Source organism: Homo sapiens, chromosome 5 (assembly GCF_000001405.40).
Source record: "Homo sapiens chromosome 5, GRCh38.p14 Primary Assembly".
NCBI classification, from domain to species: domain Eukaryota; kingdom Metazoa; phylum Chordata; class Mammalia; order Primates; family Hominidae; genus Homo; species Homo sapiens.
In genome coordinates, this window is record NC_000005.10 from 18836025 (window position 1) to 18856567 (window position 20543).

Below are 20543 nucleotides of genomic sequence, written 5' to 3' on the forward strand. Positions count from 1 at the left end.
TTGACATTATTCACATTTACTAACCTAGTTATATAACCAATTGGCCACATGGCTACCTGTGACTGACTGAAGCTTGATTCAAAAATTAATCAGTTACAAGGACTACCTCTGACTTAAATTTCGGTTTGCTTGTGTAGGAGATCCTAGTATGGTAGTAATCCCAGGCTAATGATCTCATATTTATTTTGATTTAACACCAGGCAAGCAAATATATTCAAGTTTGTTTCTGATCATTTATAACACTCTTTATTTGTTTTTATTTACTAACATATATTTTGTTAAAAATGCCCTCCACTTTCTCCTCCTCCTCTTCATCCTCCTGCTCTTACTACTCTTCGTCTTCTCCTTCCTTCCCTCCTTCCCTTCCCCCTTTTCCCCCTTCTCCCCCACCCCTCCTTTCCCCTCCCCTTGCCTTCCCTTCCTTCTTTCTTTCTTCTTCCTTCTTTCTTATTTTTGATGTTTTAGCAAATGAGTCTTCATACTGCCATTAGCATTAATCCTTAGTTATGTAGCTTCATCTTGACTAAGAGCAAAGAGAAAACACTAGGCAGAGATAGTGAGGCAGAACTAATTTATTACCAGCTTCTAGATTCCACCTAGAGTTATTCAATACTTGAACAAGTTTAGTAAAGTAAAACAAAGTTTGTTTGAATAAGGTCTAGACACATATAATTTTCTATTCTCTTGACTTCCTCAGACTAATATATTATTATTATTATTATTATTATTATTATTATTATTATTTTGAGACAGAGTTTTGCTTTTGTTGCCCAGGCTGGAGTGCGATGGCGCTATCTCGACTCACTGAAACTTCCGCCTCCCAGGTTCAAGTGATTCTCCTGCCTCAGCCTCCTGAATAGCTGGGATTGCAGGCATGCACCACCACGCCCAGCTAATTTTGTATTTTTAGTAGAGACAGGGTTTCTCCATGTTGGTCAGGTTGGTCTCGAACACCCGAACTCCAGTTATCCACCCACCTCGGCCTCCCAAAGTGCTGGGATTACAGGCATGAGCTGCTGCACCCGGCTTATTTTACTTCCTTCTTTTTTTCAGACCTCATGTCTTTGCATTTGTGGAGCGGAAAATGCTGTTTAAAAATAAATACATATAACAGCCGGGAAAAATAAGTTTAAGAATTAAAGTAAAATTAAATCTGTAAGTTTAGGTGAAATTCTCCAAGAAAGAAAAAAAAAAAGTCTATGAAAAAAAAGAAAAAGCACTTGGAGAAGGAAAGAATAATTTCCCTATCATCATTATGTCTTCTCAAAAAATAGAAACATCAATGATGTTATCAAAATTATAGTGGGAATCAGATGAAATAGGACTAAGTACTCTATCAGGTCAAACCTTCACTGCAAATGCTCCATTTCTCATTGCTATGAAAATAGGATGTCATTCTTATGGTAAAGATATTTTAAGAAAATCCATATGCAGAAAAGTAAATGTTAAGAAGGGATCAAATGTGGTATTTTTATCACTACATAAAGGATATTATGGAGATAAAATGATTTTAGCTCTTAAGAATAGTATAAAAACAGGATTTTTCTATACATGTATCTATGTATCTATCTCTAGCTATCATCTATATATACAAGTTAAATCATGCCTGTATGCTCACAGGAAAAGAAAAAAAGATCTTTCCGTTACTGTTATCTTCTTGCATATCTTGCCAGCTCTACTTTAGTTCAATGTAATTAATGTATTTAGGAGTGTGTGGGTGTGTGCATTTTTTCTATTTGCTTGGTACACACATTAGTCTTATGCTTGGAAGGACACCTTAGAAATTAGGCCAGCAAAACGTGGCTGTTCATTTTCTTGATGTTTAGCTTTCTCCCTATGCTCATCAGAGCTCAAGAGCGTCGTTTGTAAAGTCCCCAGATAATAAAAAACATTGAGGACCTTGTTAACTAGGAGCTTCTAGTCACTGAGAACATTGTTAACAGGGACCTTCCACTTACCCCAAGATGGATTCTTCAGGAGTGGGTATCGTAATTGATACACTTAAATAACTACAAGTATTCTAGGTGATATTTATCTTCATGGAATTGTGGAAAGCGTTGTTATATCTCACATAATACATATGTATCCACCACTTTTTTCCAAATTTGTGAAGAAAAACTATATTTTTAAAGTACTAAAAATACTAAAATACTAAATACTAAAATACTAAAAAACAAAATTTTTACAATACACTTATTTTACCTATATTTCTCCATATGTAATTGGGAAGAAGTGAAGAGTGTATCATAAAAAAAATGATTACTGCTAGTATATACTCCAGAAAAGTTTTGGGGAATTAAGCTGTGATATATGTATTTTCATACTTCTTAGTCTCTATTTCTATGAGAAAAACAGATATCTGAATTCAATATATTTATAGGTTTATTGAATATCTAATAATTTAAAATATAATAGTTGATTTTAAAATGAAAGACATAAATAATATATAGACTAAACATAGTTATTTAAAATAAGTTAACTTTAATTTTGGATAGTAACTTTTTTTTAAACTTTCCTTTATACTTAGCAAAAAATATATAACAGATCTGGAAAAAAGATATAGCTTAATAGAATATTCATAACCTCTTTTCAGTCAGATACTCATGGCAGTCAAGGGAAGTCACATTAACTCTGTGTCTCACTTTTTACTTTAATTTTTTTTTCTGTAAATTATAACAAAAACATTTGCTCTTTCTACCTCATCAGGTTTTAGTAAGGATAAAATGTTTTAAATATACTCTGTAACTCATGAAACCTCATATAGTTCACATAATTTTTATGCTCTGATAAAACACATGATTAATCGGAAAAATTTTACACTGATAGTGAATTCAATGAAACATCATTGAAATTGTAAGTTTCCTGCATGGTCATTAGATAGCATACTCAGTATCACGTATAAGTTCAGTTCTTAAAATTGACACTGATATGATGCTAAAATTAATTACTCTTATATCAACTCCAAAATGGCTGAGGGAATAAAGTTAAATTGAAACCCAGTGAAAACATTTTTTTTGGAGGATGAGGTTATTTGTGCAGATGCTTTTCCTTCTGATCTTCTAATACAGAGATTTAATACTTAGGGATGTTAAAAATTGGACAGCTGATCTGTTCTTTAGACATTCATTCTCAACTGTTAGGATCATCAAGCCTTTGGCAGCTGCTCAATTGCAGTCAATAATTGGGCTTATCTGGCCCTCAAAAATCATCACACGTCCTTGGAAGTTCTGCCTCTGTGATTGTATCTCCTAGTGATCTGCTGGCAACAACAGTTAACATGTCAGATTCATCTCCACATATGTTTACCGTCGGAACATAGGTATTCAGAAAACATTTCAATATTACTTTGAAGATGTCTTATCTAGTGTTTTCACTTTTATGTCTTTGAAAATATTTTTAAGAAAGCAATAATTGGCTCCATAATTAATAGCCTGAGACAAAAGGTGATTCCTATTGCTGTGGCAAGCTGGTATATAACACCATCCAGCACCCTCTCACAGGGAACAATTTGAGGTAATGAATTATGACAGGAACATTGCTGTTTGTAAAATAATTAGGTGATAAAATAGATGAATTATTAGGCTTTTATATTATAAACTGGTTGTTCTGTGATATGAAAGGTTGCAGGTTTTTTCTTTCCTCATTTGAAATCCACCTTGTGTATACAATCATAAATTATGCCTTCCTAGTCTGATTGCCTAAAATTCTTGTATGACAACAATAGCAACACTTACAATTAGCTCAAGAATGAAAGTATATCTGGCTAATTTCACATGGAATACTTCTGTTGCTTTAATTAACTTATCCCAATAAAACAATTTGTTCTTTTTTAGTAGTGTACATTTTACAATGAAATATAAAAATTAAGTCAAGTTAAAAGTATGACCTACAAGAAAAAGCATGTTGAACTATAAATTATGGTTGTTGAATTAAATGTCTTTAATTTGCAAAAAGGAGGTAATAATATAAATTTAAAAAACTAAGAAACTAATGAAGAACATAATTATACTTTGAAGTCCTTTATTTTTCTCAAGTTTCCTTTGAATGTCTGGTACCAACTCTGATTCTTCAATCTGAATATTCAAGCATGTAAAATTGTCTCTCATTCTCCATGCTAGCTTCATGGATACTTGAATGAGGTTATTGTTCCTAGGATTTTATATCATCTTTTCCTTATATTTCCCCTTTCATTCCATCCCATTCTATAAAACAAAAAGACAACAGAATTTAAGTTAGCACTCTTGATTGTCTTATATAAGCTCCCACACACTATATTTATACAAAATAGAAGTTGTTGCTTTATAATACAGCAAACTTGAAAACTCTTGCCCCTTGTAAACATGACCTGTATGAATCATTAATGACATGAGAGAAATCTCCTGCTAAGAAAATAAATGATCTGCTTTCTGCTGAGTGGGAAGCCCTGACTTTTGATCACAGGCAAGGTAATAGGATCAGGCATCAAATAAGGTCATGAAAACAGGAGACTGTTTAGAATTTCCAGGAGGAAGATTTATTTTTCTTTATTTTTCAATAATTTCAAAAGGTCAATACTAGGAGGGCTGCTAGCATCTTCAAACATTAATAAAAATTGCTGCAGTACAACACATTATTTGAGGAAATGTGAGAGAAAGGTCAAAAAACCAAATTTTTATTTGGTATTTGTTTCAACCTAACTAATAAAACAACAGCTTGAAATTTATCCAAAAATGATTTGGAATACCAAATGTGATTTAAGATGTCAGGATACATAGAAAACTGGAAAATCTTCGTAGCAAATGGTGAAGTCTTAGCACAACTTGCCTCTATCCAAGATTTTACTAGTATCTCCATATATTTTACTGGTACCTCCAAACATTTTACTGGTACCTTCAAAGATTTTACAGGCACTAAAAACCATCTATTAATACTTGAATCTTATCTATAATCTATACCTCTGAAAACATTGTTTAAATATTATTAAATAAAGTGTTATAATGTAAACTGTTCTACTTTATTAGAGGATTTTAAAATTTAAATTTCTTTTCTGTTACTTTTATTGCTCTATGAAGAAAATTCATTAAAGCTCTTTATCCTTTTATGAAGTCTTCTGCCATTTCCTACAACTCTTTTAACATAGTACTTTCTGGTGCTTCTCAAATTACTTTCTGATGTATTCAAGTTATTTATTATTTTATTTTGGTTTTTATTTATTTTGTAAAGCACGTATTTGATGATTAATTCTTATATGTCTGTTTATTTATAAATATTTTACATGGCTTCTCATTTCTGACTTTTAAATTAATAAACATTAATTTTTTTCAACTTCCATTTATTTTCTTCAGTTTTGATATTTTTATTTTAGGGATGCATTTAGTCCTTAACTCAATTGGTTGTGATTGGTTTAGAGTTCTTAACTTTACATTTAAAAATTAGGTAAATTCTTCTTAAACATAATAACATTTTAAAACTCTAAATATATATTATTTTGAGGAAAAAAAGAGTTATTTTTGTCTTATATGAGACCAGACACCCAATGTCTCCAGCATAGTGGGAAAACCAAGACCCTAGACCGGGGGAGATGGACAAATGCACCGTAAAATACTAGTTTTTTTAGAACAAATAATTGAGGAGAAGAAAAGTTTAGAAGAAGAAAAGGCTAACACAGTAGTCCCACTTTATCAGTAGTTTCACTTTCTGCCATTTCTGTTTTCCGTGGTCAGCCATTGTTAGAAAATATTGAATGAAAAATTTTAGAAACAAACAATTCATAAATTTTATATTGCATGTAGTTCTGAGTAGCGTGATAAAATGTTGGGTCATCCTGCTCTGGACATGGGTCATTCCTTCATCCAGCATATCCGTGCTGTGTATGCTACCTGCCTGACAGTCTCTCAATAGCCTTCTTGGTGATCAGTTCAACAGACCACAACAGTAATAAAATAACAAGGGTGAGTCAATTATAATATGATATTTTGAGAGGGAGAAAGATCATATCCACATAACTTTGATTACACTATAATGTTAAAATCCTTATATTTTATTAATATTGTTTATCTTATTGCATGTAATTTGTAAATTAAACTGTATCATGAGTATCTATGTACAGAAAAAACATAGTATATATAAGATTAGATACTATCCACAGTTTTGGGTACCATTTGGGAGTGTTGGAACAAATCCTCTACTGAGAAGAGAGAACTCCTGTAATAGCTGTTTAGAGAAATATTAGATAGCATCTCAGGCAATGCTAAAATTTCTCATATGGTAAAAATGAGATTCAAGCAAAAATTATTATTATTATTATTATTATTTTTTCAGAATGAGCAATTAGGTTTAAGTTTTCTTTCTTTTTTTTTAATTTTATTTATTTATTTATTTATTTTATTATACTTTAAGTTTTAGGGTACATGTGCACATTGTGCAGGTTAGTTACATATGTATACATGTGCCATGCTGGTGCGCTGCACCCACTAACTGGTCATCTAGCATTAGGTATATCTCTCAATGCTATCCCTCCCCCCTCCCCCCACCCCACAACTGCAAAAATTATTATTAAATGTTGAACCATGTAGTCAATGTAAAGCCAAGTATACATGCCAGTAGTTTCTGATTATAATGTAACTCTTCCTTGAAATACAACTTTTTGCCTGCCTATTAGGCTGCTCTAAATATAAATAAAAGAACCAAGAGTAAACTAGACCTGTGAGCATTAGCAAGTTAAATAAGTAAATAAGCAAACAATAAAAATACATCAATCCATAAGTCATATAAATATCCAGTACAAGAAATTGATCATGTCAAGAAGTTGATCAAAGTGAGTTGATAGCAAAGGAAAACCAGCAGGAATGTAAGAACTATAAAATATCACCTATTTTTGAAACTGAGTGTTTGCATTTTCCCTGGTGGCAGGCGTCCATCCTGAGCTGCATGATATGACATGATTTACTAGGCATTTCTGATATAAGACATAACAGATATAAAGGATTAATGGTATGGGGTACAGGCATATGTGAATGATATTCAGAGTGTTATATAAAGGATCTCAGACTAGGAGATTTAATGCTAATGTAAAGGAGCCAGCAGATTACATGACTATCTCTTCCTTCAATTTACAGGTAAAATACATATTTAAGAAAACAAATGACAGAGCACATTCCAAAAGAAAGAAAAGTAAAGCCTTCAGGATTCAGACATAATGAACTAAACAAAATATACAACCTGAATTAGTACAAATGCTTCAAGAACTAAAAATAAGCCAATAAATAAAATCTATGTATTAAGGGTTGATATTGTAAATATAATACAGGAAAAATAAGCTACAAAAAAGAAATAAGTTGACAAATTAGAAATAAAAATAACATTGAAAGGTAATAGACAAAATATAAATTAAAAATAACACATTGAAAAATGTAGGTACACTAGAACTTTGTAAGTTTTTTTTAACAAATGCAAATAAGTTGTTCAAACTGATAGAAAAAAACAGACCTTGATAAATCAAGGAAGATTCTAGAGTAATAGGAATAAATCAGCACTAAGAGAATATGACACAGTAATATCAGAAATATACCTTAATGAATGATAAGGTGTAAGCATTTGGGGGGCCCTCCCACCCCCTGGCAAAAAGGAAATAACAGAGTATACAAATCAGATGACACAAACCTGCATAACAAAGTTCACACTAGACATTCTGGAAGATCCTCTATCCTCAATGCTTATCCTTACACATATAAACATGATCGAGATGAAGGAAGGTCATAATCACATAATATCTCACTATGTTCCACTCTATCTCAAGTGAATAAACTCCTTCTTTTGGAATTCTGTCCATTTAATGACAGTAATAAGAATGCTGCTCTTTTTTAAAACTAGAATTTTCTTTAAGTACTCAGAATGTAATAATTGTTCTCAAGCACGATGATTGGGTGTTTATGAGCACGTGTGAGTTGTACCTCCTTCAAATCCTGTTTTGGTGGCAGCACGTTACCCATCTGACATGAAAGAAAATAAGAGAAAAAATGAAAATTACCTGCTAAGGTTAAGTGATATATGTGTGTGTGTGTATATATATATGTGTGTGTGTATGTATATGTGTGTATATATATATACACACACACATATATACGTGTATGTATATATGTGTGTGTGTGCATATATATATACTTAAACAAAGTAGTATTAATCCATGAAATGTGTACTTAGTATTGTGTGTGTGGATATATATATATCCACACATATATATATGGCTTTAAGCACTAGTGTTAACTGGAAATGTGTTAGAGTTATGCAGCTGCCTAGGCTCATTTGCATAGATTCAATAAGAAGACAATGAGATGCACTCAAATGGTTCTAGACAGTATTGCTCACCACATGGCAGGCAACGTGGGTTCATAGTTCTCTCTACCTTCCAAATCCCGTGGGGGTGGCGCGGGTAAATATTTTGTGTTACAGATTGATATTTTATATATTGAAATCTTAACTTTTAATGTGATGACATTTGACGGTGTCTTTAGAAGGTAATTAGGTCATGAGGATGAAGCCTTCATGAATGGAATTAGTGCACTTATAAAAAGAACCCCAAAGAACTTTCTTCCTGTTTTTGCCAGGTGAGGTTACAAAGAGAAGCGGCACTCTGCCACCCGGAAAATGGTCCTCACCAGAACCAACCATGCTGGCACCCTGATCTTGAACTTCCAGCCTCCAGAACTGTGAGAAATAAGTTTCTGTTGTTTATAAGCCACACAGTTTATGATACTTTGTTATAGCAGCTTAAACTGACAAGGACTCTGCACACACAGGGGTTTATGTCACAGCTGAGAAACACTGCACTGTAAAAACCCTCGATTGTATAAGGGATCTGTCAGAAAACCTGCCCATCCTTATCTCCAGAGAAACTCTGCCTTGGAATGTAAGGCTATCCCTTTGCGAAGGAGAAGGAAGACTTTACTCTCCTAGAATGTCTCTGAAGAGAAAAACATTCTCTATGTTTATTACACTGATCAGACAAGAAATCTCTCTCCTAAGGAGTGATACACTATCTCTAACTTCCAAGGCTCTTTGTTATACAAGATTCTTGAAAAGAGCATCTGAGGTGGTAAAAACACCACAGAGAATTGCTTCCAAACAAATAAAAATGATCAGGTTTCTGTGTAGAAAATTGTCAATTCTGAGTGTTAGCTTGATGCTGCATTATTCTTTGCAGTGTTTAAGGTTTTTCATGAACGTAAAAAAGGCATGTATTCAGATCATGTAGTGATTATGAACTTAATAAATCATTGATAATCATCCATTTTAGTGTAGGAGGTTCACCTTGATTCCCACATGGAATAAATACACTGTATAATCTCCCCTTTAACCCAGGCTGATAGCTGAGGATCAACTACTTGAGGTAAACTGAGACTCGAGGATTAGTAAAGAAATCCAGATAATCAGATAACTTGAGCTTGATTTAGGTCTGTATGTGTCATTGAACATATGCTGTTGAATCATTTCACCTTTCAAAGTACTGTATCAGCCATGGTTAATTCAGGAGAAAAGAAATCATACAAGGTCTTCACACAGGGGGGATTTTATAAGAGACCACAATGGTTTTATAAGAACTGTCAAACTTAAACAGCAAAAAGGGAGCACTAAGCTAACCCAAAGATTATAACTGATGAAAACAAAGATGAGAAAAGAAGTGGGAAGAGCAAGGCCTGAGAGTTCTTTGTGAGGCCCTGTGGGGTTGGCACTCAATCTCCAAAGAGGAGGTGCCTCTTGGTTGTTGGTTCCTGTAAGAAGGGTGATGAGGCTGAAATCAGGACTGGCAAAAGGGGCTGGAGACTGGAGACCATTCTCTCTTTTGAGTTATGCTGATGTGAACAGCAGAAAAAATGAAAGAAAAAAAGAAGAAAACATAAACGGGGGAGAGTTCCTTCTCACTTCATTCATCTTCCTCTTCAGTGCCTCTGATGGACATAATCATGGAAATCAGGAATACAGTTTGCAAAATTTTAGTCCCAGCATCTCAGAGTAGAGTATAAGGAATGGATTTTATGCTGAAAGACAATGAGTACATGACTATCAAAATTACTAACTATAAGGTCATTTTCAAGGGACTTTAATCCACTATTTTAATGGGAATATTTACTGAGGCTTCTAGTTTTCTTTGTGAAAACCAATTAACTTCAAGGTGACATTACTAAATATTTCTTCTACTGGGAAACGAAACTTAATGGTAACAGAAACTGATGTTTTGTCAGGAAAACATATTTTTTTCTGAATTTATTATTAGTGTAGAATGCACACTTTTGCATGGAGGAATGATTTCATTCCATTTCTTTAAATTAGACACAGAATCTAATATGAGCGTTGCAATCTGCTGTGGAATATGTCCTTTGAGATGTCTGTTTCCCTTTTTCCCATATTCTCATTATAATATATAGCTTTTCTTATTTTACCTTCTACTTCCCAAGGAGTGGAGAATATAGAATAAATAAATAAGATAGTCTTAAATTAAAAATTTCCTCTTATGTACACTGCTCTTAGAATTTGTTTCAGCATATGTGTGATTCATCTTGTTGCTATTTCAAATTCTAGTATAAAGAACATACTTATAAATACCATTCATTTGTGAAAAAAATCTAAAAGGAATAGCAATCTCTTCATTGTCCTGTGTATTAATCTATTTTCATGCTGCTGATAAAGACACAACTGAGACTGGGCAATTTACAAAAGGAAGAGGTTTAATGGACTTACAGGTCCACATGGCTAGGGTGGCCTCACAATCATGGCAGAAGGCACTTCTTACATGGCGGTGGCAAGAAAGAGAATGAGGAAGAAGCAAAAGCAGAAGCTCCTTATAAAGCCATCCGATCTCATGAGACTTATTCACTATCATGAGAACTGTATGGGGAAAACTGCCCCCATGATTCAATTATCTCCCACCAGGTCCCTCCCCCAACACATGGGAATTATGGGAGTACAATTCAAGATGAGATTTGGGTGAAGACACAGAGCCAAACTATATCATTCCATGCCTGTCTCCTGCCAAATCTCATGTCCCCACATTTCAAAACCAATTATGCCTTCCCAACAGTCCCCCAAAGACTTATTTCAGCATTAACTCAAAAGTCCACAGTCCAACATCTCATCTGAGACAAGGCAAGTCCCTTCCACCTATGAGCCTGTAAAATCAAAAGCAAGTTAGTTACTTCCTAAATACAATGGGGTACAGGCATTGGGGAAATACAGCCATTCCAAATGGAGAAATTGGCCAAAAGCAATGGCTACAGGCACCATGCAAGTCTCAAATTCAGTGGGGCAGTTAAATCTTAAAGCTCCAAAATGTTTTCTTTGACTCTATGTCTTACATTGGGGTCATGCTGATGCGAGAGGTGGGTTCCCATTGTCTTGGGAAGCTCCCCTTTTGTGGCTTTGCAGGGCATAGCCCCCCTCCTGGCTGTTTTCATGGGCTAGTGTTGAGTGTCTGTGGCTTTTTAGGTGCGTGGTGCAAGCTGTTCATGGATCTACCATTCTGGGGTCTGGAGGACAGTTGCCCTCTTCTCACAGCTCTACTAGGTGGTGTCCCAGTAGGGACTCTGTGTGGAGGCTCTGACCCCACATTTCCTTTCTTCACTGCCCTAGTAGAGGTTCTCCATGAAGACCCTGCCTCTGCAGCAAAATTCAGCCTGGGCATCCAGTCTTTTCCATTCATCTTTTGAAATCTAAGTGGAGGTTCCCAAACCTCAACTCTTGTCTTTTGTGCACCTGCAGGCTCAAGACCACATCTAAGCTACCAAGGCTCGGGGTTTCCACCTGCTGATGCAACAGCCTGAGCTATACCTTGGCCCCTTTCAGTCACAGCTGTAGTGGATGGGGCACAGGACACCAAGTCCCTAGCCTGCACACAGCAGAGGGACCCTGCGCCAGGCCCACAAAACCATTTTTTCCTTATAAACCTCTGGGCCTGTGATGGGAGGAGCTGCTGCAAAGGTCTCTGACATGCCCTGGAGACATTTTCCCCATTGTCTTGGTGATTAACATTTGACTCCTCATTATATGTGCAAATTTTTGCAGCCTGCTTGAATTTTTCTTCAGAAAATGGAATTTTCTTTGGTATTGCATTGTCAGGCTGCAAATTTTTCAAACTTTTTTGCTCTGTTTCCCTTTTGAAACTGAATGCCTTTAACAGCACTCAAGTCACTCCTGAATGCTTTGCTGCTTAGAAATTTCTTCTGCCATATACCCTAAATCATCTCCTGCAAGTTCAAAGTTCCACAAATCTCTAGGGAAGGAGCAAAATGCTGCCAGTCAAATAGAGCAAGTGTCACCTTTACTCCAGTTCCCAACAAGTTCCTCATATCCATGTGAGACCACCTCAGCCTGGATTTCATTGTGCATATCACTATCAGCATTTTTGTCAAAGCATTCAACAAGTCTCTAAGGCGTTCCAAACTTTCCCACATTTTTCTGTCTTCTTCTGAGCCCTCCAAACCGTTCCAACCTTTGCCTGTTACCCAATTCCAAAGTCATTTCCACTTTTTCAGGTATCTTTTCAGCAGTGCCCCACTCTACTGGTACCAATTTACTGTATTAGTACATTGTTTTCATGCTGCTGATAAAGACATACCTGACACTGGGCAATTTAAAAAAGAAAGAGGTTTAATGGACCTACAGTACCACGTGGCTAGGGAGGCCTCACAATCATGGCAGAAGGTGAAAGTCACTTTTTACTTGGTGGTGGCAAGAGAGAGAATGAGGAAGAAGTGAAAGTGGAAACCCTTTATAAAACCATCAGATCTCATGAGACTTATTCACCACCGTGAGAACACCAGGCGGGGAACTGCCCCCATGATTCAATTTCTCTCACAGGGTCCCTCCTGCAACATGTGAGAATTACGGGAGTAAAATTCAAGAGGAGGTTTAGGTGGGAACACAGAGCCAAACCATATCATCTTGCCCTGACTCCACTGCCATTATTGAATGTTCACTTGTGTGAAGCAAGGTATGCTCAAACTTACAGAAACCTTTGCAAATCTCAGCCCATTTTCTTGAGTAGTGGCTATGATATTGTACCATGTGTTTACATTTGACTAAGATTTTTATTTGTAAAAATATATTCTTTAAAAGTAATTGAGTGTTCACAAAACTAGAATGTAAAATGCTTTTTTTTGCATTGATTTAAATTTTAAATCACCAAAATGACTATCATTAAATGAACTTCAAGCTTCAAAAGTTGATATAATAGCCATTAAAAAGGAACAAAGTATATTTATATATACTCTTCTGGAAAGGTCATGAACACCCACTTAAGTAAAAAGAATAAAACCAGTATGTATAATATCATTATTGCCCAACTATATATGTGTATATGAACAAATGCATGCATTCAAAAGACATGAAAAATGATTTTTGTTTTACAATGAAGACTTAGAATGGGGCTTAGTCATTGAATTAGTATTTATGAGAATAATGAACTAACCAATCCACAAAATAAATAAATTAGATTTAGCATTAATACATAGCAAACAAGGAGAATGTCGCACTCACATATTTTAAACTTAAAAATTGAAGATCAGTGTCAGAAACAGAATTAAGGGAAAACTAATCTTGTGCTTCTCTAACTCAAAAGGAGATAATGCAGTGTTATCTTATCTTTTAGAATCCGTATGAGTGACACCAAATTATCTAGAAGCTACCTCAGAGGAGATCTTCATCTTTTCCATCTCTAGCAAGCAGGGAACGGACAAGGCCGGGGGAGGTATGTTTTCACTGAGAGTAGGTCATGAGGCTAAACTTTCCTGGTCAAAGCATAAACTCCAGGAATCATCAATGAATAGTAAAAATACATCAAATGGGTAGGAAGTGTCACCAGTGTGATTTGCTTTTCCCTTTGTTCAGTGCAGTGAACTGTTTTTGATTGTTGACACTCAAAATATGATTATAAGACCAGTAACACTGGCATCACCTGGCAGCCTGCAATAAAAGTAGATTCAAGGGCATCCATTGGCATTTTAATAAAATCTCATTGTAGTTTCTATAGAAATGGTTATTGCTTAAAAATACTATTGTAGTGGACTTTAACAACACATTACATAATATTATGTAACACTGAAGTAGGGAATCAGCAGGAGAACTTGTTTTCTCAGCATTGGTTACAAGACCCTGCTGATCAAAATAGAATTTGATGAAAACAGATGCAGCAAAGAAACAGGCCCCAAACAGCTAAAACCAAGATGGGGATGAGAGTGACTTTTAACTAGTTTTCTTCATTGCTCATTATATAGTACTTATAATGCATTAGCATGCTAAAAGAAACTCCCATTCATGGCATGACAGTTTACAAATGCCATGGCAACGGCTGGAAGTTACCTTATATGGTTTAGAAGGAGAGAAACCCTCAGTTCTGGGAACTCCACACCCTTTTTCCAGATGACCATCCCCTTATTTAGCATCTAATCAAGGAATAGCCATAAATACAGCTAGCCAGCAGTCCACGTGGAACATTGCAGCCACTCTGTCTATGGAGCAGCCATTTTTCTGTGTTCTGTTGCTGTAATAAACTCACTTTTCCTTTATTTTGTTGGATAGCTCTTGAATTCTTTTTTGTGTGAAGCCAAGGACCTCCCTGCCCTGGCTGAGCACCAATTTGGGGATTTGCCTGCATCAGTACTGTAGGACCCAGTTCTATTAGAAAATAACTGAAGCTGAGACCTCCTCTTTTACCTCACACTCAGTCTAAAAAACCAATGTCAACAAAGCCACATTTTCAGATGGGAAAAAAAGCTAAATTTAGGTAAAGAGATAGAAAAAGAAGATTCTATAAATTTCTATAAAAAGTTATGTTAGCAAGGTAGAGAGGTTTAGCAACTATATAAACAATATTTAAAAATAAGCAAATTAAAGAATATAATTGGCAAAAGATAAGTGACTATCTTAGACAAGAGTAAATCATTGTCAAATGAATAGAAGTAAATCCTCCACAAGGGACTTACTGTCTAAGTACTTAATAGAAGCATTAATTTATCAAACAAGTGTGTAAAAACCAGATGGCAATACAACCCAGGAAGATGAAAATGGTGACTGAAGAGCTGTGGAAACAAATTGAGGGACAAAATTACCACAGTACAAAAATAGTAAATGCACTCTAAACAGAACAAAACAGAACAGATGTGGCTGAAAATAGAATCACTGACACAGTGGAGAAAATGCCTATTAAAATTACGTGAATTCAGAGGAAAAAGGCCCAGATCAAAGCAGTTCGATGAATCACAATAGATGAAGAGAACAGAGATGTTCCAAGATGAGAATAACTGTTATCTGTGATGTAAAAACTTCAATAGAATTAACAAAAGTCATTCATGAGAAACGGATGAAGATTTCCCAGAAATTTTATAATATATTTGCACAATGACAGAATAAACAGTGTTCCAGAAATTACAATTTGTGGAACAATTTGGCCCAATAAATAACCTGGTGATGTAATTGAAATTGGAGAATTAGGTATTATCTGGCATACAGGAAAGAAGAGAAAGTTATGTACAAGAAGGAAGTGTCAGAGTAGCCTCAGATTTATCCACAGAAGTGTTTAATGATGGCAGATAATAGTGTTATAGCTACGAGATTCTGAAGAAAATAAGAGGTAAGATGTTACTCAAGACCTATACATTCAGGTATTAAATGTTATTCAAGCATTAAAATGTACCCTCACTCTTGATATCAAAATAAAAAATAAGAGAAGAAATAAACAACCGATAGGCCTTTCTGGAAAAAAAAAAGAAAGAGAGAGATAAATAAAGAGACAAACAAAACACATTTTTGACAATTAAAACAATCAAATAATGGAAAAATAAAGCAATCATTAGAATCTAAACTAAATAAACAGAAATAAAACTAAGGAACCATGGTAATGAAAATTAACCAAAAATATACATCTTAAGTACGTCAGTAATGTCAATAACCTTGGAGGAATAAAATAAAGTACAAGATTGTGCAGGTGTTAAGTAAATTAAAATGGAGACAAGGTCTGGAGAATTTGTGAGCAGAAAAAGCCAGTTAGGCCTTGAAAATAACCTTAGCATGGCTTAACTTGCAAGCACAGCAAAACTTAAACATGGGCCATGTCTTGTAAATGCTTGTATTAAGGAAAAATAAAACTTAGACTCTATCAGTCAGAAGCTGCCAACTAACTTACATAACAAGAACCTATTCAGCAACATAGACAAAATAAAGACAATTGCATAACTGTAACCAATGAAATCTTTCCTTGGCTTTACTTCCATGTCTGTCATTTAAAAGCATCTATTGGAGCTCCCAAATCACTTCTGGTTAGGAGCTGGAGCTGATCAATTCATGAATCAAGGTTTATTCAAATAAACTCTTTAACATTTTATTGTGCCTTAATTTATCTTTTAGCACAGGTTATGCTAGCTCTACTTGAAATATTAAAACTTCCAGGATGGGTGTGGTGGCTTATGCTTGTACTCAGCATTTTGAGAGGTCAAGGCAGGCAGATCACTTAAGCTGAAGAGTTCTATACCAGCCTGGGAAACACAGCAAAATCCCCTCTCTCCGAAAAAAAAAAAAAAAAAAGCCAGGAGCCAGGAGTGGTGGGACACATCTGTATTCCCAGCTACTCAGGAGGCTGAGTTGGGAAAACCATCTGAGTTCGAAAGGCAGAAATTTCAGTAACCCATAATCACACCACCGCATTCCAGCCTGGGTGACACAGTAAAACCCTGTTTCAAAATAACAGCAATCACAACAGCAAAATTCCAAACTCTCAATATTAAAAAAAAAAATTCTTCTTAAATTTTGAGGTATCTTTTATGGAAGAAGTATGTCTTAAGAAGAACAGATATTTATTTGTACAGTTAATTTTTTTTAAAAAATAGAATTTACTAGTTTTTTCCCTTTAAATTCAAGTATGCTAAATAAAGTTTATATTAAAATCATCACTCATGGCCCAGTTTTAAATAAAATACCTTCTTTTTGTTGATTTTTCTTTCTTGCTTTCATCATTTCTTAGTTCCTTTCTATTTGTCTATTTTCTAAAAGCATAATAAACCATCTGGAATGCTCTTTTGTAATGGTTGAAATGTCATTTCAGGCTTTTTTGGCTTGTTTAAAGTTGTTCTTGATATGATTTTTATATTTCTTATTTTTTTTGAAAAGACAATCATTATTTAAAACAAAAAGGCAAAAATAAGGTCTAGGCAGAGAAATTTCAAAATGTAAATATTAATTTTCTGGTCAGGGAATTGGACTGAATGTATGTAGAACTCATAAGTAGATATGTTAAAATTATTGCTTCACAGTATTTATACTATTTTAACAAATTTGTTACTAGCATAAACTATTCATTACTAGAAAAATATCATTTGTTGTTAATTATATGAAACATGTTTTTTAATCTTTGCATTTTACATATTAATGGAAAAGCTTAGCTTTTTTTTAAACATATATGGAGCTATTTTTTAGCTGGAGAAAGTTAGGGAAAAATACACACATATGGTTTGGTTAGGAAGGAATTAGTCCTATTACTCATAGCTTTGTACACCAGGCAAGTTGCTAGAATAGTCGGCAATCCTTAAAATGTGTATGTATGAAAATAATTTCTGTTAACAACAGATTTTTTCTGGTGCATGGTCTCATTTTGGGTCCACATAAGATGCTGCTTAAACAATTTGAGATGACATAACTGTTACTGTAGTTCAACATTTGAAAGAGCTAATCTATCTTGAAAGTCATAATTGTTTGTTTTGTAAATGATGATTTCTGTACATTTCAAATTCTACACTATATTTAATTTTGTATAAAATTATATATATTATACTACTTAATACCTTAATTTCAGGTTTAATTAAGGGTTAATGCCTTAATTATTAAGAGTTCAAATGACTTCTGTCTTTTCCTTGGGCATTTTTAAACTACTTAGCTTTATCTTTAAACCAAAGTAACTCCTTACAAGTTTTTTGTTTAGTAGAATTGCTTGAAACCTGGAGGAAGAAGTTTCAGTGAGCCGAGATCATGCCACTGCACTCCAGCCTGGGCGACAGAGTGAGACACCGTCTCAGAAAAAAAAAAAAAAAAAAGGTTTTTGTTTCATGTGATAGTGAAGCAAAGAAAGTCATGAAGAAAAGTCTTTCTCCAAAATATTCTTAACTTACATTTGGGTAATTTTATTACAGTGAATTGAGATAAGCAGCCACTGAGTAATAAGGCTAATATATCACTTTGTTATTCTTTCCCAACTAAAGGATTGAATGAAACATATGCTCAGTTCCCTCTCCCTGTGCTTTCAGACATGTATTCACACTTTATCATACAATCCTCAACGGATAGTTGCTTTAAGATCAATATATTTACAGAATAGCAAAAATAATTTGCATGCAATTATTTTCCAAGTCATAATGTTCTGAGAGCTTGCCTTACTCAGAAAAAAAAAATACAAAAAACAGACAAATGCCTTTTTATAATAATATTAGATAAAATATTATGTTGAGAATAAAATTCAATTTTATTTATTTGAGTTCCTGTAACAAGAATACATTTTGATTACAAACATCTCCAAGTTTTGAGCCATGGGTAATCAACATATATTAGACATAATTTAATTGAACAAGAACTTTACTGTGAGTTTTAAAATAAGAAATATGTTCTTTTCTCCCTCTCTCCTTCCTCTCTCTCTCTTCTTTTCTTTCTTGCTTGTTTGTTTGCTGGTAGAGAAAAGTTAGTTCTCAAGGTGATATATACAAAAATAGAGGGCTGACAGTCTGGAATGACAAACTGGACTGGTCATTGGGACACTAGTGCTGTCATTCTGTTCTGAACAACCTTCTATTATTTCTAAGTCTTGAATGTGATACTACTGAGATTGTTTTCCATGCCTCTCAGCAACACAGGTAATAAGAATTACACTCTATCAGTGGAGGTAAGTCAAATATATATATATTTATATTTAAATTAACTAGATACAAATTATTAGTTATCAAGATAGTAAGTAAAACAGTTTTTCTTGTGGAATATGTAATTTTCACTGTATTTGACAAGTTTGAAAAACAGATATTCTTTCTGATATCATTCATTCATTTATTCAGTATTTATTAAAAGCATAATATGTCCTAGTGATATGGTTTGACTACGTTTCCACTCGAATTTCATCTTGAATTGGGGCTCCCATAATTCCCATGTGTTGTGGAAGGGGCCCGGTGAGAGAAAATTGAATCATGGGGGCAGTTTTCCCCATAGAGTTCTCGTGGTAGTGAATAAGTCTCATGAGATCTGATGGTTTTATAAGGGGTTTCCATTTTTGCTTGTTTCTCATTCTCTCTTGTCTGCTGCCATGTAAGACATGCCTTTCACCTTCTGCCATGATTGTGAGGCCTCCCCAGCCATGTGGAACTGTGAGTTCATTAAGTATTTTTCTTTATAAATTGCCCAGTTTGGGGTATTTCTTTATCAACAGTGTGAAAACTGACTAATACAGTAAATTGGTACTGGAAGTGGGGTGATGCTGTAAAGATACTCAAAAATATGGAAGCAAGTTTGGAACTGGGTAAATGGCAGAAGTTGGAACAGATTGGAAACCTCAGAAGGAGATAGGATAATGTGGAAAAGTTTGGAGCTTTCTAGAGCCTTGGAGGGCTTAGAAGATAGGAGGATGTGGGAAAGTTTGGAACTTCCTAGAGACTTGTTTAATGGCTTTGACCAAAATGCTGATAATTATATGAATAATGAAATCTAGGCTGAGGTAGTCTCAGATAAAGATGAGAAATTTGTTGAGAACTGGAGTAAAGGTGACTCTTGCTATGTTTTAGCAAACAGACTGGCAGCATTTTACTCCTGCCCTAGAGATCTGCGGAACTTTAAACTTGAGGGCGATGATTTAAGGTATCTGGCGTAAGAAATTTCTAAACAGCAAAACATTCAAGAGGTGACTTGGGTGCTGTTAGAAACATTCGGGTTTTTTTTTTTTTTTTTTTTTTTTGAGACAGTCTTGCTCTGTTGCCCAGGCTGGAGTGCAGTGGGGTGATCTCGGCTCACTGCAAGCTCTGCCTCCTGGGTTCATGCTATTCTCCTGCCTCAGCCTCCCGAGTAGCTGGGACTGCAGGAGCCCGACACTACACCTGGCTAATTTTTTTTTTTTTTTCAGTAGAGACGGGGTTTCACTGTGTTAGCCAGGATGGTCTCGATCTCCTGACCTCGTGATCCGCCCACCTTGGCCTCCCAAAGTGCTGGGATTACAGGTGAGAGAAAGCATTCAGTTTCAAATGGGAAACCGAGCATAAAAATTCTGAAAATTTGTAGCCTGATTAGGTGATAGAAAAGAAAAATCCATTTTCTGAAGAGAAATTCAATCAGGGTGCAGACATTTGCATGAGTAACAAGAAGCCAAATGTTAATTGATAAGACAATGGGGAAAATGTCTCCAGGACATGTCAGAGAACTTTGTGGCAGCCCCTCCCATCACAGGCCCAGAGGCCTAGGAAGAAAAAACAGTTTCATGGGCCAACGCTGTTGTGTGCAGCCTAGGAATTTGGTACCCTGAGTCCTAGCCATTCTAGTCATTGCTAAAAGGGCCA

At 34.9% G+C, this 20543-nt stretch overlaps 1 non-coding gene across 1 annotated transcript; it reads left to right on the forward strand.

The window, feature by feature from the left end:
* Positions 1-7877: 7877 nt before the first annotated feature.
* Positions 7878-7976, forward strand: LOC124901212 (small nucleolar RNA U13). Its single transcript, XR_007059176.1, has one exon. It is a non-coding gene; the product is annotated as a small nucleolar RNA U13 (small nucleolar RNA).
* Positions 7977-20543: the final 12567 nt, after the last annotated feature.